Source organism: Homo sapiens, chromosome 8 (genome assembly GCF_000001405.40).
Source record: "Homo sapiens chromosome 8, GRCh38.p14 Primary Assembly".
In the NCBI taxonomy this organism is placed as follows: Eukaryota; Metazoa; Chordata; class Mammalia; order Primates; family Hominidae; genus Homo; species Homo sapiens.
This window is the reverse complement of record NC_000008.11, coordinates 117,092,082-117,115,817: the sequence shown is the minus strand read 5'-3', so window position 1 is coordinate 117,115,817 and position 23,736 is coordinate 117,092,082. Positions and strand designations below refer to the sequence as shown.

At 39.5% G+C, this 23,736-nt stretch overlaps 1 protein-coding gene and 2 long non-coding RNA genes across 9 annotated transcripts in view; 2 read left to right on the top strand and 1 right to left on the bottom strand.

The window, feature by feature from the left end:
* Positions 1 to 23,736, bottom strand: part of SLC30A8 (solute carrier family 30 member 8) — a 226,498-nt gene that overhangs the window by 60,897 nt on the left and 141,865 nt on the right. The gene's annotated exons all lie outside the window — the stretch shown is intronic.
* Positions 1 to 23,736, top strand: part of LOC105375716 (uncharacterized) — a 436,284-nt gene that overhangs the window by 404,903 nt on the left and 7,645 nt on the right. The gene's annotated exons all lie outside the window — the stretch shown is intronic.
* LOC105375719 (uncharacterized) lies at positions 8,139 to 17,358 on the top strand. Its single transcript, XR_002956725.2, has 3 exons — positions 8,139 to 8,202; positions 9,703 to 9,821; positions 17,284 to 17,358. It is a non-coding gene; the product is annotated as an uncharacterized LOC105375719 (long non-coding RNA).

Below are 23,736 nucleotides of genomic sequence, written 5' to 3'. Positions count from 1 at the left end.
GAACAGCTAGCCCCTCCTCATTGATTAGATCTCAGTTCATATGCCACAGCCTCAATGAGCCCTTCCCTACCCACTCTGAAGAAAGTGGCTCCTAATCCTTCACCCTCATCTTCAGACCTCCAACTGTTTAACTGTTTTGCATTTATTGGTAACTGAAATTAACCTATTTCACTAATTTGCTTGATTGACATATGACTTTCTCACCCAAAAGGAATTTCACTGAGGAAAAAACATGTGTTTGTCTTCTGAAGGTGCTCATGCTTATTTGTGGAGAGAAATAAAATTATAACAATGAAAGAATGATTGTAAAGAGAATACCTACTGCTGCTAGCAAAATGCAAAATTGGTGAAGAAATTGCAGGGGGACCAAGGGAGTTCAAAATGGCAGTAGGACAAGAGAAGAAGTACCCCAAAAAGGAACAAAGAAAATTAGAAGATTGATGGGAGAAAAGAGGATCAAAATGGCAGACAGGGATGATGCTGGGCAAAGACAACCTTTCGCTATTTTCACTTTACATCACATACCAACTAGAGCAGTTCCTCCTGCTGGTTTTCTATTTAAGAAGACAAAGAAGGTTAGATGAGACCTGTGGCTCACACCTATAATCCCAACAGTTTGGAAGGCCAAGGCAGGAAGATAGCTTGAGACCAGGAGTTCAAGACCAGCCTGGTCAACAGAATGAGACCCTGTCTCTACAAAAAATAAAAACTAAAATTATAAACAAAAAATAAAATTCAAAAATTAGCCAGGCATGGGGGCACAAGCCTGTAGTCCCAGCTATTCAGGAGGCTGAGACAGGAGAATCACCTGAGCCCAGGAGTTTGAGCCTACAGTGAGCTATGATCACTGTAGCCACCACACTAGAGCTTGGGTGACAGAGCAAGACCCTGTCTCTAAGACAGAAAGAGAGAGAGAGAGAGGACAGAAGAGAGAAAGACAAAGAAGGCAATTAACTTACAGAGCCTAAAGTATAATTCAGATCTCTACATTCCCATTTCTGAGGCTGCTCCCAGCTTCTGTGATTCTGGAGGCTGAAATTGGTCATTTTCACACTGCTATGGAATATTTTATAGCTGGGGAAGCATAACCTACAAGAGTGGCTTTTTGAACACCCCCACTTTTTCTCTCAGTAGACTCCAGTCTCTTAAATCTCACTTAGATGAGAATCTGCTGAATCAGCAGAGGTAGGAACTCGAGACCCTTTGGCTTACTTAACAGCCAATTAATTCACTTTATCATATGAAACAGTTTTAATAGGAGGGCTAGGGATTTAAAGCTGACGGGGGTCAGCTTAGCCTTTGAGTGGGGAATTCACTCTGGTGATTACCCCAGGGCTTAAGTGTTCTGTAAGAAAACTTAATTTCTCCAGATTGATTTTCTGCTCTCTTTCATCACCAAATTGTTGCTAGTTCACCAAGTATACTCCCTTAATGTTCAAATTCTGTGTCATGGAATCCGAATAGTAGTTCAGAGGGGCAAGGTGGAAGGGGATATATAGACAGGAAGGTATGGGTTCAGTGATGGTCCTTGTCAATTGAATATGGGCAGTTTTTTCCATTCAAATCCTAATCTCATTTCATCTAATAATTATTCCTAAATGTAGACAAGCAGTAGGACAGCCCTTTCCTGGAGAAACAATATAAATGTTTGGAAAGAAAAAGAGCTTCTGTTCTAAGTGCTGTGTGTCTGAATTCTCCAACTTGATGGCTAAGACAAGGCATTTGTTTGTACCTGGAGCCAGGTCATCATTTTCCAGTAATCTAGTGATACTGTTCTCCAACATCTGGGAGGTCTCATGACCCAGCTGCCCTGTGAGTTTGCTAAAGAAGCAGATGATAAAAACATAATCTTTAGTTAATCTGTTGTCCTCGTTTCACAAATCTTCTGTGTTTTATAAATCTACCCATGTCTTCACCTATTGTCTGAACCACACTCAGTGCATCTACATTATTGTATCATGAATTACAATTATTTTGTATGTTACCTCACCATCTTAAACACCACTTGAGGGCGGGAACCAAGCATGCCATACCCCAAAGTTTTTCCAAGTAGACAAGCCCTCATTAAGTTTTATTAAATTGGTTGAATACATAAAATGTCTAGCACAACAACTTCTGTATAACTAGAGCTAAGAAGCACTAGAACCTCTCTGCATGCTGGCGCCTTGGCAATCCTGTTACTCACATCTCTGAATGGTAGAGATAAGAATGCCCTAACATAGAATCACAATGCAGGCAATTGTTAAATCAGAATAAAATTCCAGTTCCTGGGCAATGCAGCCAGGCTTAGTATACAGAAGCTTCTCCAAATCTTAAATGTTACAATAGCAATACCTTACTTTTGGATAACACTTACACTTTTGCAACAATTTTCTTATCTCATCTTCATAATAATACATGAGGGAGGAAGGGCAAATAATATTATCTCTATTTTGAAGATAATACATTGAGTCATAACATGGAAAAATGACTTGCTTCCATTCCATTACAAGCATCAGAGCAGAAAGCTGGCAACCAGTATCAGTCAGTCTTCTAAACCACTAGTTCATTATTTTCCCACTAAACTCACCATGACATAAGTCTGCTTAGAGCTTTGCCTCTCAAACTTTCATGTGCATACAAATTGCCTAGGGATCTTGTTAGTATCCTGGTTAAAAGCTGATTCCGTTTGTCTGTATTTCTCTAACAAACTCCTAGGAGATACTGATGCTCCTGGTCCCCTCACCACAATTTGAGTAGCAAGATTATAGAAGGCAGTGACTATGGCTACCATCTTTATATCCTCACTGCTTGGCACATAGTAGGTGCTTGATAAATAGATGTTGACTGAATAAAGGAACAGTCATGCTTGACCCACTTTTTCTATCTGTAGTGCTGAACAAATAGTAAAACACTCAGGAGATAAGTACTGAGTTAATGAAGTAATCAACAGTCAATGAAACAAAGAAAGTGCTGACTCCGCAAAACTGCATGTGATCACACTTGAAGGAAAAACAAAGAATTTGCAGAGCAGGAAAGTCCTTGGGATACACCCCAGCATTCGCCCTGGACTAGATATTGAGTCTGTAATAACACATTTTCTTATGCAATTGCATCCATCAGAGAATCTTCATGGCCCTACAAGTAATATGATGACTTTTTTCCAAGTACTTTTTATGCTTTGAAGACATTGTCTTCCTAAAACTTCCTGCCAATGCTCAGTGAAGTAAACAAAATTCAGCATCTTCATTTTTGCTCTGGGAAAAGAAGGCTGAGTTGTCCCAGTCTCTCTCCGGCAGAGCTGAAATTAGAGCCGGGGCTTTCTCCCTCCCAGCTCAGACCTTGACACTCAATGAGTCTCAAGGGGTTTTTCATTTACACCAACTCCTTTAACTGTTCACCCCTCCTGTGTGGTGAATTGGCAGGGGCTGTACTTCAAACAAAATATTTAACTATTCTGAACTGAGTTATGAAATAAAGGGCTTTATTAAGAGTAAGGGATGAATACAACAGAGCTTAATTAAAATTCTCTGAATGGTTGGTGAGACAGAACAATACAACCCACATTAAAACATTTTCCAGGAATCTCATCTTTCAAGGTCTGGAGCACAAGACACTCTGGCATGTTGAACCTATCTCAGGAAAGCATAAAATCACCTGTCATTTATCAATGAACCCATGAGGTGATATCTTCACAAACTCCTAGTAGTTAAATTTTTCAAGAAATGGGGTTAGAGGAGAGAAAATGATACCTGAAATAGAGACGGAAGAAATGTCATCCTCTTTTTTACAGAGGGACGCATAGCCCAGATGCTGCTGCTTGTCTCTGAGTCCCTGCAGCCTTCTTCTTAGATGACTTGGGGTACCTTGGCTCCCACCTGAGGCATAGATTGGCCTTGTTTTCTAGACATTTCCAGATATTAAACAAGGAGGACATTTTGAGAATCAAAAACTGTCCATTTATAAAGAGGAAGAAAAAATGCCTCAACCAGGAGCAGAGCTGGTTTTATGCACAGTTACCTCAAACCATGTAATTGGGGAGTTAGTTTCCCACTATCTCTCAGCTGTGGCTTCCTCCAGGTCGACTTCATGGCATCAAAAAGATGCTCCCTTTGGGGCAGCAAGATGGCCTCCAGCCCCTCAGACCTATATTGTAGTAGCTTTGCAGCGCCAGTGGAAAGACAGTGCCTCTTTACCACTAGTTTGAAAGAAAAAAAAAGTCCCATAATGCACTCTAATTAGTTTAGTCCACATGTCCAAAGCTAAACTATCACAGTCAGGGAACATGGTGTTCTAAGCAGCCAGGCCTGGTTGGGTACTCTGTCATGGTCTGGAAAATGGAGCCCCACTGAAGCACAGCAACCAATAATTTGGAAAACATAGTGACCCAAAGGAAAGGTAGGGTGCTATTACTAAAAGAAGAAAGAAGAGATGGTGAGTAGGCAAATAAGAGTGGTCTACTGCTAAAGTCTGATCTTACCTTTTGTTTGAATTCTGATAACTAGGTTTTTCCCTGCTTCCAAAACCCAGTTCCTAACCTGAACACCACTTTTGACAACAAGCTACCTATCTTTTCTTATATCTGGATCCTGTCTTGGGAACATGTCAGAAAACAACAATAAAAATAGCTACCAATGTTTATTAAATATTTAGCTTGTGCCAGGATTTGTCCTGTGTTAACTATTTTTTCTAATTTTATTATTACAAACACCTACAAAGATGTGTTTTATCACAATTTCATTTGTAGCTGAGACACCTGAGGCTCAAAGTTAGGTAGCTTTCCTAAGAGAATGTGACAGTTATGGAAGAACCAAGATATAAAAGTCTGTTTGATTTCAGATTCTAAGCCATTAATCACTATGCCATGTTACCTGGCTACCTTTTCATGGACTTGCCTACAATTAATGCTTTCCTGTTTTAAGGCTAATCACCCGACGGCCTCTAACCTTGGTGTCCTCCTCTGTAAAGCAAGAAAGAGGATGGCTTCCTCATTTGCCTGTCTCATCTCTCGGGGCTATTGTGAGGATTTAATGAGTCAATATACATGTAGCATTATAATTAGGATTATTCCTTATAAATCAAGCAAAATGACAGATATGAACATGAATTTGGATACACACATACACGTACATCACACCAGTTCTCACTGTCACTCACTTCTAGCTCTGCAGAGGACGGACCCTTCTCAGCCCATTCCTTGATCCTCTCAGAGAGTCTGGGGCTCAGGACACTTTATCCCCCTGAAAGGAAAGGCTTCGTCATGTGCCCCTGCATGCCCTGGCATCCAGCCAGCTCCTGCAGATCCTTTGCTCTCAGCATTTCACAGTCCTGCTCTACGAGTTTGATGGCCGCCCCTGAGAGGACATCTTGCCCTTCCACTTCTCTGGGCCACCATTCCCTACTCAGGACATCATGACACATGGTGACCTTACGTCATTTCCTTGGCTCTTTTTATCTTCTTGGCACTTACACCCACAGGGCTGGAAAGAAGTCCTCACCTCTGTCAATCAGAATGACAAAGTGACAGAAAGCACGATGTTAGACTACCATTTAACCTATTTGATGGCTTTTTTTTTTTAAGTAATGTTGCTGAGTCTCTATAAAATTCAGAGGAGTGGAAAGAATTTGAGCAAGCCTCAATACCTCTCTCTGGGGCCCACGCCAAACATCAATAGCAGCCACAGCTTCTGTCATTTTCTTATGGAGGGTTTTTTTGAATCAACATGCTTTTATTCTAATACTCTTTCCAGGTGTATCTATCTTACAAGGCGTAATGAAGATACAAACAAGTCAGAAATTCTTCATTAAGTTAACAAAATGCTTTGCACTTCAGTTTAGTTTTTCAAAACAGAGAGGGCTTGGAAAAGTCAATAAAGAAAGCGTAATTCTAAGCACCTTAATCACTATAAATGCTGAGCCGGCTCTTCTGTGAAGCCAGCCATTTCCTGATTGGTATCCAGGGTGGTAATTCCTCTTAGATCATCCCCTCAAAAGTGTGTCTTCTTTGAATTCTCAGCATTTGTCCTTAACAGCACTAAGGCTCTTTGTTAAAGAGTTTTTACCTTAGGAGACAAAGTTGAAAAGCCTACGAGTCTGTTGAGATAGCAATTTTTCAACTTAATAACAACATGTCTTCAACAGACGTAAATACCGATGTTGCAGTTTAAATGGGTGTTTCAGCATTGTCAGATAAGGGGCCATTCATTAAATACAAGTGAACAAACAACTTTCCAGCCAAAATATACACGGGGCTCTTAGGAATTTATAAAATCTGATTAGTTCCTTCTCTTGTTTTTTTCCTATTGGCAGTGAATGGATTTAAAAGGTGACTGGAACACTTCTTTCTGACCTCAGAGATGTGATGGATGTCCGGGAAGATTTTCTCAAGGGCTAGAAGTTAAGAACTTTGTTCCTACTGTTTATCTTTTTCCCTTTCATATTCAAGCCACTTAACCATACTGAGCCTCAACTTTTTCATTTATAAAATGGAAATCATTTTAACTTTTCTCTGGAGGACAGCTGTTGCCTGCCCATCACTATTTCCTCCTTTTCTGGTGACAACATCCTACTTTCCTTCAAAGAATAATGCCTACCCCATTATAATAACTTTTACACGGGGCTGTCCCAACACATGCTGCCTTCAAGGCTAGGTGCATGACACAGGCCTGGCCAATCAGTGTGTCCAATCCCTCTGGCCACTGTGATTGGTCCAGTTACGGGTATATGATGCAGATCAATCCAGTAAAACTCAACCTCGTGACTTTTACTGGAACCATCAGTCAAGACGCCTTCTTTTTCTGTGAGTTTTCCAGGCTAGGAGAAGGAAAGTTAGAGCCCTGGGATGCCACGTCATGAGAAAAGCCTGCCAGAGAGCAAAACTAGCACAAAGGAAAGAAAGTATTCCAATAAAAGGGTGACGCTGAAAGCTGAAATGTGAATTTGTTAAATCCTCAAATAGCCAACAGCTTCTAGGACAAGATCATACACAGTTAGGACCTCGATAACAATTTGTTAGTGGAATAGATAAGAACATTTTAGATCCTGTTGCTCAATTCTGAAATGCTGCTCTGTGTCATGAATATTGGTTTATTTTCTTTGTAGAGTGAAGTCATTAAGACTAGAGCTCCAGGCTTCTTCATCCAACTCCAAGGGTTCCCAGCAACATGTGAAGTCCTCTATCTGTCACTAAGAAGCCGTGTGAGTGAAGCAGGCTATATACCTTGGTTTCAACATCTGTGAACAAGGTGTAATGATGGTTTTCTCATCTTTTTTTAGGATCGTTATAAGAATCTGAGACAGTGAGAGGGAAAAGATTGTTTTCCATTCATTAGCTCAGGCTGGGCATTGGAGGCATCTCCTCTGAGCACCTGCTAAAACAGCACTGGCAAGTCACTCTTTGGAGCCATTTCTGGAAAGAGGTTCTATACAAATAAAATTAGAAAAGTCTGAATTTAGCATATGAGAAATGTTATGGCCATTGGTACCTATCACTCTAAACACCATTCTGCTTATTCTTGTCATGTAGGGGCATTTGATTTTTAATCTATCCACTTAAATATTGGCTGCTTCTATAGACTTCCCAACCAGCAGTCCTTGTGCAGGCAAAACTCCCATTTAACTGAATGAAAGTATTAAACATAAAATATTGTTAGGAAGAGTCTGATATTGTATTTATCTTGCTGATAATTATCTTACATGTTTTAATTACTCCCAGTAGTGTCCCAAGGCTGATTAAAGGAAAAATATAATTTACTCATCGAAATAAGATATTATACAAGTATCAAATGATATTGATAAATATTAAACAATAAACTTTCCTAGAATTCTTTCCCTAAAAAATTGGGGACCTTATACTTCACTAGTTATATATTTCAGAGCAAGCTGGTTTATAACAGAATGATAAAGGTGATTAGAATGAAAGAGAGGCCATTTGGATTGATTCAGTTTTGCTACATTTATTATAATTTACAATACTTTGCCATAAAAATAAAATAGTTACCCAACCTCAGATTACTGTCTTTATATTGTGGTTGATTTTATAATTGCTGACCTTTATCCCATAGATTTTTCAGGGTTAGTTATTACTGGTTTTTACCTGAGAGATTTGGGGGAGTTGTGTTTATCGCTCAAATATCCAATCTAAATTTGGTTCTCTTATAGCAATGGATGGATGACTCACCTCTCATAGGAATGATAGAACTTGGATCATCTTGTCAATCACAGGTAGCAGATTGGATGTCTGGCCCCAAATAATAAAGCTCTGCACCAAGAGATAGTATCGTCTCCTTCCCTTAAATAACAATCCTCATTTCTAGCTGGTATAAGAATTTCATCTTTAATAATTGACCAGTGTGACAGAAAATCTGTTGTTGGCAAAGCATGTTTAAAATTATATTACTTAATCGTTCTCATCTCAGAGATACTTTCCATCTGCTCCTCAAATCCAATGCCCATTGCAAGGCACAGGTCCATTTTATGCAGCAACTGATTGCCATTATTTTTAAATTTTACTTTATCTAAAAAGAGCAGAAGCAAACTTTGAGTGCTTCATGGGCTATATTTAATACTTTGATATTATATTAAATGCAGAGTCAATATGACATCCTGTTATTGGTATAGTGCAAAATATTTTCAAGCTTATTTTAATAAGGATGGTATCCTGACAAAGGCACACTGTCAATATAAATGCATTTATTTTACACAGTGCAAATGAACAAAGGAAGTTCACTAGTATAAGAAAATAGATCAATAGTCCTGTGAGAAACTCTTAGGATGCTCTTCTCACTCTGTTTTTGTCAGCTAAAGATTTATCAAGGAAAGTGCTATGGCAAAAATTGCATCATGTGGGCCAAGTGACATTTTTCTCCAAAGAAAATACTGATGACTCAGTGCTATGCAGATAGAATGGTTTTCCTTCTCCAATAAAGCATATGCAGGTCAGGTAGAGAGAACATCCCTTTGGCATCACTGCAGAGGTGGTAGGTGTGTCATAAGCCAACTAGCTCCTGAAAGAAAATGCCAGATCATTCTGCCATGGAGCAGGGAAGATGCAATCATTCTGAAACCGTGTGCAAAGTTGAGTTCTATTTTTAGAGGCATTTGTTAATTAGAGTCAAAGTGGGCTGGGGATTCCAGGTGGAAAATCAAATGGTCTAATTAGATGGGGACATAGAACAGGGTAGGGAAATAAACACTGAATTGACAGGCAGCCAATCCAAGTTCTGGGTCCTGCACTACTGCTAACAAGCTCTAATTCTCAGCAGTTCATATGACCTCTGAGTCCTCATCCACAAAAGAAAAACAACTCTAAAATCCTCTTTTGCTCGAAGTTCCTTCTTACTCTAACAATCTCTGAAACAATAATCAAAATCTAATTTATCCCTGTATCTTAGTAAAAGAAACTCAATAATGTATTAGGTTGGTACAAACATAATTGTGGTTTCTGCCATTACTTTTAATGATAAAAACCACAATGAATTTTGTACCACAATTGCATAAGGGAAATTATATTTCCCAATACAGTAGTGTCATTTAGACATTTAAATGTAAACCTAAATTAATTACAATTAAATGAAAATAAAAATCTACTTCCACAGTAATACTAAGTATACTCCTAGTGTTCGAAAACCACATGTGGCTAGTGGCTACTATTAAGTAGTACAGATTATAAATTTCCTTTATCCCAGAAAGCACTAATTTATAAAACCATTTTCCTCTCCCTAGAGCTTGGTGGCCTTCTACAAATGTTTGTGGAATGAATAAGTGAGAGAATGAGAGATTAATAAAGCCAATACTATCACCAGTCCAACGAAGAGCTGCAACTGAAAAAAAAGTCTGACAAAGTATGATGTACATTGAAAATGAAAAGAAACCATTCTATTCTTCGTGAAGTTAGACCTGGATAGCTATGTATAGCTCTGCTCTCTGCAATTTAAGAGAAATAATCTGGAAATGCAGAAGAAATAGGGAAAAGCACTTGTAACGTGCAGTTTTATGTGTCAACTTGGGTAGGCCATAATACCCAGTTATTTAGTCAAACACTAATCTAGGTGCAGCTGTGAAGGCACTTTGTAGACGTGTTTAACATCTAAAATAAGCTCACATTAAGTAAGAGATTATCCTCAATAATGTGGGTGGGCCTCACTGAATCAATTGGAAGTCCTGAGAGCAAAAACTGAGGTTTGCCAGGGAAGAAGAAATTTGACCTCAAAACTGCAACATAGAAATCCTGACTAAGCTTCCAGGCTGCTGGCTTGCCCTACAAATTTCAGATATACCAGGCCCCAATCTTACGAACCAATTTCTTAAAATAAATCATGTATGCGTATTCGTTAATATACACACTCATATAAAGAACACACATATGTGTACATATATGTATATGTGTGTGTATGTTCTATTGGTTTCGTTTCTCTTGAGAGCCCTCGCTGATAGAGATTTTAGTACCAAGAAGTAGGGTGCTATTGTGTAAATAAATAAATAAATAAATAAAAATATGGAAGTAGCTTTGGAACTGAATAATGGATAGAGGCTGGAAGAGTTTTTAGGTGCATGATAGAAAAATCTTAGATTGCTTTGAAGAGATTCTAATAGAAATGTCAGAGGCGTTTGAACCAGAGCAACTCCATCTTTAACAGGGGCTGGGTAAAATGAGGCTGAGACCTACTGCGCTGCATTCCCAGGAGGTTAGACATTCTAAGTCACAGAATGAGACAGGAGGTTGGCACAAGATACAGGTCACAAAGACCTTGCTGATGAAACAACTTCCAATAAAGAAGCTGGCCAAAACCCACCAAAACCAAGATGGTGACAAAAGTGACCTCTGGTGGTCCTCACTGCTCATTATACGCTAATTATAATATATTAGCTTGCTAAAAGACACCCTCACCAGTGCCATGACAATTTACAGATGCCATGACAACATCAGGAAGTTACCCTATATGGCCGAAAAGGGGAAGGAACCCCCAGTTCCAGGAATTGCCCACCCCTTTCCCAGAAAACTCATGAGGAGTCCACACATTGTTTAGCATATAATCAAGATATAACCATAAAAATAGCCAACCAACAGTTCTCTGGGCTGCTCTGCCAATGGAGTAGCCATTTTTTATTCCTTTACTTTCTGAATAAACTTGCTTTCACTTTACCCTATGGATTTGCCTCAAATTCTTTCTTGCATGAGATCCAAGAATCCTCTCTTGGGGTCTGGATCAGGACCCCCTTTTGGTAACAGAAATGTGGACATTGAAGGCAATTCTGATGAGCTCTCAGAAAGAAGTAAAGAAGGAGGACTGTAGGGAAATTTCTATTGTTTTAGAGAATACCTATTGTCATGAACAGAATGTTGCTAGAAATATGAACATTGAAGATGCTTTGGTGAAGTCTCAGATGGAAATGAGGGACATGCTACTGAAAACTGGAGGAAAGGTGATCCTTGTTAGAAAGTAGAATAAACTTGGCTGAATTGTAGTCTGTTGTTGGGTAGAGAGCAGAACCTGCGAGCAATAAACTTGGATATTTAACTGAGGTTCCCAAACAGAGTGTGGCCTGGTTTCTCCTTGCAGCCTATAATAAAATGTGAAAGGAAAGAAATGGAGAAAGAAACTACTAAGCAAAAAATAAACCAGAACCAGATGATTTAGAAAATTCTCAGCCTAGTCACATTGCAAAAATATGAGAAAGCAAGTTCTAGAAGAGAACCCCAAGTTGGGGTCTAGTTGGACATTCTTTTGCTGAAGAGATTAGGCATATGACTTATGCATTCAATCAGCCATGTCAGCAAAGGCCAGGAATAGCGACGGGGTATCCAGGAGGAATGTGTGGAGAAACTTTTTGTCTAATGGCATGATCCCCATGATGTCCACAGAAGACTATTAAGGGTTTTGAGAATGTTATACATGATGTTCACAGAAGACTATTCAGGGTTTTGAGAATGTTATACAACTAAAAGCCGTAGCTTGGACTAAACAGGACAGAGATGGAATGAAGTGAAAGAAAGCTGTTGGACTTTTGGGATTCTACAGGCAGGAAACAGGCTGATAGAGCAACTCAGCTGAAAAAGTATGTTACCCATGGCTGGGCGCAGTGGCTCACACTTATAATTCTTGCACTTAGGGAGGCTGATGGATTGCTTGAAGCCAGGAGTTCGAGACCAGTCTGGCCAACATGGCAAAACCTGTCCCTACGAAAAATACAAAAAATTAGCCAGGCATGGTGGTTCATGCCTGTAGTCCCAGCTACTTGGGAAGGTGAGGCAAGAGAATTGCCTGAACCCAGGAGGTGAAGGTTGCAGTGAGCCAAGATCACATCATTGCACTCCAGTCTGGGCAACAGAGTGAGACCCTGTCTCAAACAAACAAACAAAGTATGTTACCCTTAAAGCAAAAGGAAACATGACTCTGAGGGCACTGAGGGTAGAGTGACAGGCTGAAAGGACAGCACTACCACTCATGTGGGCCAAGAAGAGAGGGCAGATGCCTCAGGCTCTCTGAGCATCAAGCCACAGAGAATTATTCTCACTCCTTGAAATTCTGCTTGTCTTGCTGGGTTGCAAACTTGCTTGGGACTCATCACCCCTTTTTTCCTCCCAGTTTCTCACTTTTAGAATGAAAATTTTCTACCCTGTGGCTGTCCCATCATTGTATTCTAGACATAGATAATGTGTTCTCTAGTTTGGCAGGTGCACTAATAGAGAGGAATTTTACTTCGGGATGGACCCTACCCAGATTCTCACCCATACCTGATTTAAATGATTTAGAAGAGGAGATTTTGAACTTTTCAAGTTAATTATATGTAGTAAGATTTTGGACTTTGAGTTGATGCTGGAATGACTCAAGACTTTTGGGGATGTTAGGATGGAGGGAATGTATTTTGCACATAGGAAAGACATGAACTTTTGGGACCCAGAGAGTGGACTACGCTGAGTTGAGTGGTGTCTCCCCAAAATTCTTGTCCACTTGGAATCTGGAACTGTTTCCTATTTGGAAATAAGGCCTTTGAATCTGTAATCAAGTTGAGATGCATCATGTATTGTATTGGGATGAGCTCTAAGTCTAATGATTGGTGTGCTTATGAGAAGAGAGACATTTGGATACAGAAACACACAGGCACCCATAGAAGAAGGCCATGCAAAGATGAAGAAGAAATTGGGATTATGCTGCCAAAGCCAAAGGAATGCCAAAGATTGCCAGAAACTAGAAGAAGCAAAGAAGAAGTCTTCCCTAGAGCCTTTGGAGTGAGCATGTCTCTGTTGATGGCTTGACTTCAGACTTCTAGAGTCCAGAACTGGGATAGAATAGATTTCTGTTTCTTTGGACTACTCAGTTTGTAGTGATTTATTATGGCAGCCTGTAAACTAATACAGCACTCAAGGTAACCAGGGTGATGAGAGATAAAATGCTAAATAAAACCTGACTAGCAACATTCGATCTTTTTAAAGTCAGAGAGATGAATGGTAACTAATAAAAGAATTATGTAATATAAATTTATGGAATAATAAATTATTTAGGCAACTCATTCATTTAATTTAAAAGACATCTCTTAGAGCATGAAATAGGTATATTTAAGACAAATGAATTGAAGCAGAGAACCACTTCATACCACTAATACTAAACTTATGGAAAACTTTGTATAAAAAGGAAGCACAAGCTAAAATTCAAGTAAATTGAAGGGGTTTACATGAATTTATTGGAGACAGATTTTCTATAAAGATTAGAAGAGTGTTTTCAAAAACATCAATATGATTTTTTAAAAAAACCGAACAAGTTGGAATCTAGCATGAAATCCCCCAGCTCAACAGTGACATAACACCTGTGTAGAACTTCATATAGGAAGTCTGTGTTCTCAGATACCATATGTATTAGTCAGGGTTCTCTAGAGGGACAGAACTAATGGATAGATGGATATATAAAGGGGAGTTTATTAAGGCATATTGACTCACACGATCACAAGGTGAGGTCCCGCAATAGGCCATCTGCAAGCTGAAAAGCAAGGAAGTCAGTCTAAATCCCAAAGCTGAAGAACTTGAAGTCCGATATTCAAGGGTAGGAAGCATCCAGCAGGGGAGAAAGATGTAGGCCAGAAGACTAAACCAGTCTAGTCTTTCCACATTCTTCTGCCTGCTTTTATTCTGGCCACACTGGCAGCTGATTAGATTGTGCCCACCTAGATTGAGGGTGGGTCTGCCTTTCCCAGTCCACTGACTCAAATGTTAATCTCCTTTGGCAACACACTCACAGACACACCCAGGTACAATACTTTGCACCCTTCAATCCAACCAAGTTGATAAGCACTATTAACCATCACATCATATATCTAAATAAAAGGAAATGTTCTTTTCAAACTCTATTACTCTAAAATTGAATTTTTCCAGTGTCTTCAGTGGCTGATCACAGGCAGTATGTAAATACATCTGAGCCAACTGAGTTAAATAGGTCTCCTGACTACAGGGCTTTACTACTGGACTTAAATATGCTTATGTACACTGAGACACTCTAAGAGGGAGATGGTGTGTCCAACGACTCCAAAATTATTTATCCATTGAATCCCTTTTAATTGAGCATATTTTTGGTGTGCAAGATAAAAATTCAGATATAAGGCCCTGGAAAGACGCACTTGTCTTTACTGGGAGGTCTCCAACAAAGTCAGTAAACACTTTATCTTATCCTTCTGTCCTGGGGGCCATATGGGTTCATGGGTAGGGGAAGGGATATAATAATATTTTTTTAATTGAAAACAGAGCATAATACAGAGTCTAAGATTAAAACTTATCTGGTAGCTTCTATCATTCACTCGTCATCAATCGATTTACTCTTTGACTTGCCATTCTCCTACATCTTGCTATACATGGAGAATCAGGTTTGAACTTGTTTATACTCCTAAATAGTGGTATGTTTAGTTCTAGTAAAGGACACTACAGAGCATAATGGAGACATTAAGAAGGATTCAGAGAAGAGTTACATTCATGAATTAGGAGACCAGAAAATGGCAGCTCTGGGTAACAATTTTATGAAATTAACAGAATTATTCCAGTTGGAGAAACAAGGAAAAAAAGACTAAATGAGTACAGGTTTCTTCAAGCATTCCCTGAACAAATATTGATAGTATCTACTCTAAACAGGCAACTAGCTATTTCAGATCTTAGAGATTGAACTGAAGTCTGAAGCAGAAGAAATGAACTTAACAATTATAAGAGCAGAAGAAATGCTATTCCAGGAGACCCTGATCTGCTCACTGTAGAAGACCTGCAAGTGCCTCCAGTAGCCATACTGGCTTCTTGTTTCCAGCACAAACCAGTACTCCATTGCCTGCTCTAAGAGCACCCATGCATGCCCTGTTGTACAGCGGGGGAAAGCATGGGACACAGAGTAGGAGGGCAGGCTTGTGTTGGGGGCTTAGAGCCTCAAAGAGGAGCTGTGGAAAAAAGTGGTTATGTTCTCACAGATTAAGATTTGAATACCTCCCCCAAGGTGCTCAAAATACTTTTATGGAGAAAGTACCAGATAATTAAAAGAGCATGGTTCAAATATATCTTTTCCACTGTGATATTGCTCAAGCTACTTAACAACTTACATCCTTTATTTCCTTATCTATTAACTGGTGACAATAATACCCATCCACTAAAATTTTTGTAAATACTAAATGATATATATGTAAAGAATTTAATGAAATATATAAAAATCTGTATGGCACCTGAGATAGAATAGGCAAATAGTAGATAATTGTTATTATTTTCTATTTATACAAAATGGTTGTCAATATGGGTTTGAGGGTACAGGAAGGGGTGGAGGGTACAGTGCATTTTTATAGATGTGGTACCTTTAGACTATCTGGCTCACCTCTTGTTCCCATTACTTTATAGCACTGTGACCTTCAGAAAGTCATTCAACCTCTAAACCTCACTTCCCTAATTTGTAAAATGGATATATAACAATAGTACCTACCTCACAGGGTTGTAGTCAAGATTAAATGAAATACAGTATGTAAAGCACTTACTTCAATATATGGCTCCAAAACAAACAATACATGTCATCTCATTTAATGGTACAGTACTCAGAGTTTATTTTATCAATAAACCCTTCCATCGGTTAGTGTATGTTTATTGTCCAAAAAGAGACTGATGATGTTTAGTGAGCAGGAATCTTATTCATAATTATCTAGGTAAAAGCCCATCCATTGAATATTCTGTAAGCTAGTGGCTCTCCTACAGGCCCCTGTCTATTTTTGCCATAAAGCTTTCTTTAAGATACCACAAGTGATGGCTTGTGGTCACCAGATATTTTCTTTCTTTTTGGTTGACCCTTCCTAGACTTCAGATGAGAAACTGCTACCTCTAGATCTCCCATCATATAAGCTAAACTATATTTTCTCTAACTAAAATGTCTATTTCTTATTAAGTAAAGCAGCATTGAGACTGGAGGGCTTGGGTTCTGGAGTGAGACATGGTGTGATATTTGTCAAGTTGCTAACTACTCACAGCCTCATTTTAAAACAAGGGAAGGTGACATTGTAGCTGAGACGTGAGACCTGAATAACAATGAGAAGCCAGCCATTCAGAGATCTTGGGTGGGAGGGAGAAAAGGTAGGCAATGACAAATCTAGACATAAGGAACAGCAGGTGCAAATGCCCTCAGGACAGAACCAAGACTGTTCACAAAAAAGTGTGTGAGAGACAGAATGGTTTGGCTGTAGGCATTCCACAGCTGAAAGTTTATGAGGAAAGATACATATCTTATACTTTATATTAAGCTGCTCCTACTTCTAGCATGCTGACTTAATTTGCTGATAAATTGATTCCCTCTCTGCTAGAATTCATCCCTGAGTTTAACCTATTTTCTTATATTCTTAACCATATGCAATCATTTTCCACTAAACCTCTGTGTACCCAAGTAATTTCACTCCCCACTTGGTGTCTCTGGTTTCTAGCATTGTAACAGAAAACTATGACAGTCCCTCAAAAGCATTATATGTTATCACCTTTTTCCCCAGAAGCTAACTATCCACCCCATTCACTGCTCTGCTGAACTTCCTCCAATTCATCTCTATCTTTTTTGCTGCTGAGCTAACAAAATGGAATAGCCTTTTCTCTAAGAACAGTATTACCAAAGAACAGAGGGACAATCTCCCCTGCATGCTTTATTTGGCATTTCTTTGTGCCCCATCCCAAACAGTCTGTTTATTTTCTGTTACCTGATCCCATCACAAAATCAAGTCTGCTTTTCTGCCCACTACTCCTATGCCATTCTTGTGGCCAGCTTTCCAGGATGTGTCTTTCTCACTTAGTGCCTGTTTCCAATATTCTCTCTCCAGAAATGGCTAGTTCAAGTAGCAGTTTATCCCAGACACGCATCCGTGGATAGGAGGGAGCTACACGCTTTCCTGATAATCTGGTTTCATATGAAGACAAAGGTTAAAGTAGGACAGACGAGTGATACTCTACCAAAGATTTTGAGTATTCTTAACATTCCCATTTTTCCACTAAGAGCAGGACAAAGGCAGGTGAGTTTGCTGATTTATACTGATTGATCAGAATGCATGTCTTTGGCCTTATATGTATGATACACTATTGAAATAACCAGAGAAACCCTCATCCTACCAAGCATGTATTCATAGAAAAATGAGATGACCGTCACCTTAAATTCTGCTTTCTCAGGGAGGTCTTGATTGACTAAATGTTCGAATTTTAAATTAGCTCTTCCTCTTTTTCCCTCTTTTCTACCCTGTTACTTAGCTTCACAGAACGTATATTATATATAATATATATAATTATATTTATATTTTTAAATTATAATTATATATAATTATATTTATTTAATATATTTATTTAAAATAAATATATATTATATATTTATTTAAATTTATTAAATTTATTATTTATTTAATATATTTATTTAAAATTATATATTATATATAATATATATATTTATTTAAAATTATATATTATATATAATATATATTTATTTAAAATTATATATTATATATAATATATATATTTATTTAAAATTATATATTATATATAATATATATATTTATTTAAAATTATATATTATATATAATATATATATTTATTTAAAATTATATATTATATATAATATATATTATTTAAAATTATATATTATATATAATATATATTATTTAAAATTATATATATTATATATAATATATATTATTTAAAATTATATATTATATATATTATTTAAAATTATATATTATATATAATATATATTATTTAAAATTATATATTATATATAATATATATTATTTAAAATTATATATTATATATAATATATATTATTTAAAATTATATATTATATATAATATATATTATTTAAAATTATATATTATATATAATATATATTTAAAATATATTTATTTAAAATAAATACATATTATATATAATATATAATTATATATATTTATATATATTTTTTTTTTTTTTTTTTTTTTTGAGATGGAGTCTTGCTTTGTCACCCAGGCTAGAGTGCAGTGGCGCGATCTCGGCTCACTGCAAGCTCCACCCCCGGTAAACGCCATTCTCCTTCCTCAGCCTCCCGAGTAGCTGGGACTACAGGCGCCTGCCACCATGCCCGGCTAATTTTTTGTATTTTTAGTAGAGACAGGTTTTCACCATGTTAGCCAGGATGGTCTCGATCTCCTGACCTCGTGATCTGCCCACCTCGGCCTCCCAAAGTGCTGGATCTACAGGCGTGAGCCACTACACGCAGCCCAGAACTTATATAAGTTTTAAATTATATGTTTATTGATTTAATATCTCTCTCCCTCTTCCAGTCTGCACACTCCATGAAGGCAAAAATGGGATGACTCTATTCATTTATTTTCTGCCTCCCCACTAGAATATAAGCTTCTTAAAGATAGGGGCTATGGTCATTATTCTTGGCATCTCCAGCTCCAGTGGCAGTAATAAGACAACGAGTGCCAGATGGACCAGTACTCCATGATTTTGTGTGTGAGTGGGAGGTGGGGAGAGGTGCAGGCTTCAAAGACAAGTAGAATTTGGAGTGAAAATGTTGCTAAGAAAAATCTGACAATGGTCATATGACAATATGTCATTTCCTCACTTTGCTCCATCTTTGCAGGTAGTTCCCACTCTTCCTAAGAGTGATGACTTTTCACTTATAATAATATTATTAATAATGATGAGGGTTTAAACTGGTGTTTATTATCTATTTACCAAATATGAGGTGTCAAATATTATCCTAAGCATTTACACTAGTAATTTTATAACTTCTGTGTGTGCTCCCAGGAGGCCAGAACAGTATCTGAGTCTGATTTGCAAATGTAGAATAGGAGATTTCCTTGACCCAAATGTTGGATGAATCTTAAGTCAGAGGCAGATTCAAGTCATTAAATGCATCTACTTTCTTCAAGCCCACATAGAACCAATTGGGTTCCATTCATCAAGCAAGGCAGGCATGTGAGATGTGGAACAGCAAGTAGACTTCATGCTTCACTGCAACTCCAATCATTTGGAAGCAAATATCTAGACATTTTGTAAGAATTGTTCATCTAAGCTCAGCAGGAACAAGTGCCTCTATTGGTTAGCAATGTTTACCACATACATGGATGAGGAGTAGCAGAGGTCACTCAAGGTACTCATCAAACCCAGCCCTTCTGCAGAGAAAACGAGTTCTCCTTCTTAATAATGCTCGTGGAAAGAGCAAAGTTCAAACCCCATCAGTGCCTCAGAGAGACTATAACATCAAGACAGTCTTTCTCCTTTCTAGAATTCCTGGCCAGAACTACGGCCACAAGAGCTGGTGTGAGAGAAAGATGATGAAAAGGTGAGCCCAACAATGTGCAAATAAAGAGTTGAGGCTGTTGCTCTCTCAACAGCAGCTCAGTGCTTCAGCCCATCATACTCTCAGGAAAAATTTCCCTGAACTCTTACCCAAACTGGGTGTGACTTCCTATTCTGTGATATCACAGGTTTTTATACATTTACTCCATAATACTAAATACAGTTTGTAATTATATAAGTTTATGATCAGTTAAAAAACTTATGTGCCTCTAACTAAACTCTAGGCTGAGCTCCACAAAGGCTGAAACTATCTGTTTTGCATCATTCACATCCAGTTCCCACCTCACTGCCTAGCAAGTGGAAGCCCTCAATAAATATTGCATACCTGACTAAAGGAATGAACAAGGCAATGGATTCTGGGGAAGCTTTATCGGGAGGCTTTGACCATCTCCCTATTCCAAAAGATATTATTTGTACAAGGTTGTTGTTGCTTTTTGTTTAATTCACTTTGTGATTAACTCCGTTTGGGAGATGAGCAAAGCAGAATGAATGACAACTTTTGTCAAGAAAGTCCCATTTTAAGAAAAAAAGAACATTTTGGCAATATAAATATATTTTTATGCAAAAAAAAACCCTGTCCTCAAGTTTTAGTTCCTAGTGTTACTAAAAGTAACACTAACTACTAACACTAGTTACTAACTAGTAATATGTTACTATTATTACTAACTAGTAATGCTAGTAATATGTTACTATTATTACTAACTAGTAATGCTAGTAACACTAACTAGTAGAACAAACCATTGAGTGAATAAAACCGACTAGTATTGATGACAGCAGCGGCCCATCTAGAGCAGCTGCTGCTATGACACTGGCTACAGTCGGAGAGGTACAGCCAGGGCTCTGTGCTACACAGAGCCAACGGGGGCTGGGAGTAGGCAGGAGCCCTGCCCTCCCTGGCGCAGCTGCAGCCACCTAAGCCATGGCTGCAGATCTGGGCATCTCTGCACTCTTAGGGGCCTGGGAAGGCCCCACCTGCCCCCAAGGCTCAGAGATATCTGCTCCCGCTGCCTGGCCTGCTCCTGGCATCTGCTCCAATCTTGGAGCAAGGTTGGGGCCACACCCAGGTGCTGTCACAGCCTGGCCAGGCGTGCACACACTCAGGGCAGCACTGCTATGCCAGCCCCCTGCCACCTAGGCCCCCTCTGGACTTTGGGTGCCAACAAGCATGGGAAGGAGGCTGAGGTGGGGCTAAGGGCAGCTCAGTACTCACCTGCAGGTGCCCCATGGCATGAACAGCCTGGACGCCATGAATGACAGCAGGAGGCAGACAGGCTCCTGGGTGGAAAGGGACGGGTCCCAGGTAAAGCCCCACCTTCAAGCCAGGGAGAGCCTGAAGCCTGGGGGCCAGGCTGCTGGTCCCACAAACAGGAGTGGGAACTTGCGGTGCTTTTTCCAGGCCCACCCATGGCCACTCATGGACCAACTGGCACACACTTATTCCCCTCTGAGGCCCATAAAAGCTCCAACTCAGCCAGACTCAAACAGCTGCAAAGAGGAACTACCCACAACAGAGTCCCCTCTCTGCTGAGAGCTGGACACTCATCAGGACACACTGCCTGCAGAGAGGAGCGGCCCATTCCAGGGTCTCCCCTCTACTGAGGGCTAGACACTCATCAGGACACCCTGCTTGCAGAGAAGAGCTACCCACTGCGGGTCTCCTCTGAGCTGTTCTCCTCTGAGCTGCTGCTCAATAAAACTCCTCTTCACCTTGCTCACCCTCCACTTGTCTGTGTACTTCATTCTTCCTGGACACAGGACAAGAACTCGGGACCTGCCAAATGGTGGGGCTAAAAGAGCTGTAACACAAACAGGGCTGAAACATGCCCCTTGCTCACTACTTTGGCATTACCAAGAAGGAGAAGAGAGAGAAGATGAGAAGAGCTGTGGCCCTTCGGGGAGCCCGAACCTAGGGGCTCCCTTAGTCAGGGCTGTGACACCCTCTTTGGGGCTCTGCAGTTCTTGGCATATCCAACCTTCCAGGCACTACCACATTCCCAGTGCCAGCCATGGAAGCTGCTTGCAGGATGCCTGGTCCAGCCAAAGCCTCGCAGGGAGCCAGCGCCAGTGCTGGTCCGTGGAGCTGCCCACCCTGCCCCAGTTGGTGTGCCTGCCTGTGCACAGTGGCTGGACCCTCCCATGCTCACTCACATACCCCTTGCCACTTTGCACCTGGTTTTCCCTTGGCAGGCATGGGATTCAGGTCAGTAGCACGAGCCAAGCACAGCCTGCCAGGCCAAGTTGGCAGAATGAGTCCAGAGGGCCCAAGCAAAACTCAGGCAAAGGCACCACTGGCCACAGAGGTTTCTGGCTGGCAAAGCAACACCCCAAAAATCCCATGACAGTAACTCTGGTTAGTAGTGTTACTAATGAGTTAGTGTTACTAATTAGCATTACTAGTTAGTTTTATTCATTTGTAACACTAACTAGTAGAAAAACAGTTGAGTGAATAATAAAAATAGGCCCTCACTAGCAATGACCAGGCCTCACAAGATATAAACCAATATAAGTTCCTGCATCTGATGAAGCAGCTTTGGTGTGGAGTAGTGGCAGGGGGCTCAGGACCACTGAGGGGCAATGGGAGAGAAATACTTAGAAGAACCAACCCAGTAAGGTGAATGTGTACCCATTCTTATTAAGTCTTATTTGGCTTAAGTAAGATAAGACTTAATAAGAATGAGTACACATTCACCTTACTTGGTTGACATTTCAAACCCCATCTCAACTCCTTGGACTTTCTTTTTTTAAACGTTGCTGAAATTGTGGGTCCAGAAGCTGTCAAGCCATGGTCTAAGAGGAGTCACAGACATGGTTATCATCAGCTACTTTCATTCTAAGAGAAGGATACCTGGGCCATGAGAGTATCTTACCTCATGGCCAAGGGTGGAAGATTAAGGAGGAGAGGAGGTTGTCCACTAAACTCAAGTAAGTAAGATCCTGTTCTTTTTTAAGACCTTAGTATTAAGGGCTAAATTCTACCAGCCCCTGGTAAGGATAGACTAGGAAGTAGTGAGACAGGCTAGTAGCCCACATCTTAGATCCTTTAGCTGACACAGGGGATATATGACATTCCTCCCAAAGGAATACAAGCTATACTATGAGCAGAGAAGACCCCAGAATAAGTCATGCAGCCTGTGAAAGACTCTGATTGCTCAAATAAGTTGACTCTCACTCCAGTCCGAAGCAAGGAGGCACAGCACAGCTTTCACCTGCACAAAATGGAGTTTTGCTCAGGCAGCATCCTTGGGAGCCTTATCTCAGTGTCTCCCTGGAACAAACAAGACGAGGAACCTCCCCAGCTTGTACCAGGGTCTCACTATAAGGGCACCTGCCTGTGCCTCCCCAGCTCTGTTTCTTACATTCTACTTTGTAGTCTCAGCTAGTTTTCTCTACCTATCTCTTTAGGCATCTCTCTAATCTATCTCTTTAAGTCTAGGTACTAGTGGGCACTCAGGAAATCTTTGTTGAATGAATGTTCACATCATTAGTCTAGTAATCATGGCTAGCTAAAAATTTTGCCAGGCCAGGTGCAAAATGAAAATTTGGAATCTCTCCTTCAAAAGACAGGAAAAAGAGGGCTGTTAAAGGCACTAAGATCCAAAGGGTTTTTTTTTTTCCTTCCATGTCTTCTCTCTTAACTCATCATAGTGTTTTTTAATTTGCTGTTTAATTTGTTGTAGGTAAAGAAAAAATAAAAATTTAAATTATTAGCATTAATTTTGCTATTTATCTTTATATCATGCAATGACAATTTGAAATGCAAATATAAGAACATTTTGCTCATATGAGGAGTCACTGAAAATATAATTTGTATTTCGTAAGTCACGTATTTGTATTTTGTTTTTACCAGAACAGTTGAAATGCTGCACAAAACTAACTCAACAGTTTTTATGTCACTCCTTGTTACAGTTCTACCAATACTTTCTCCCTTCTACTTACTGACGATT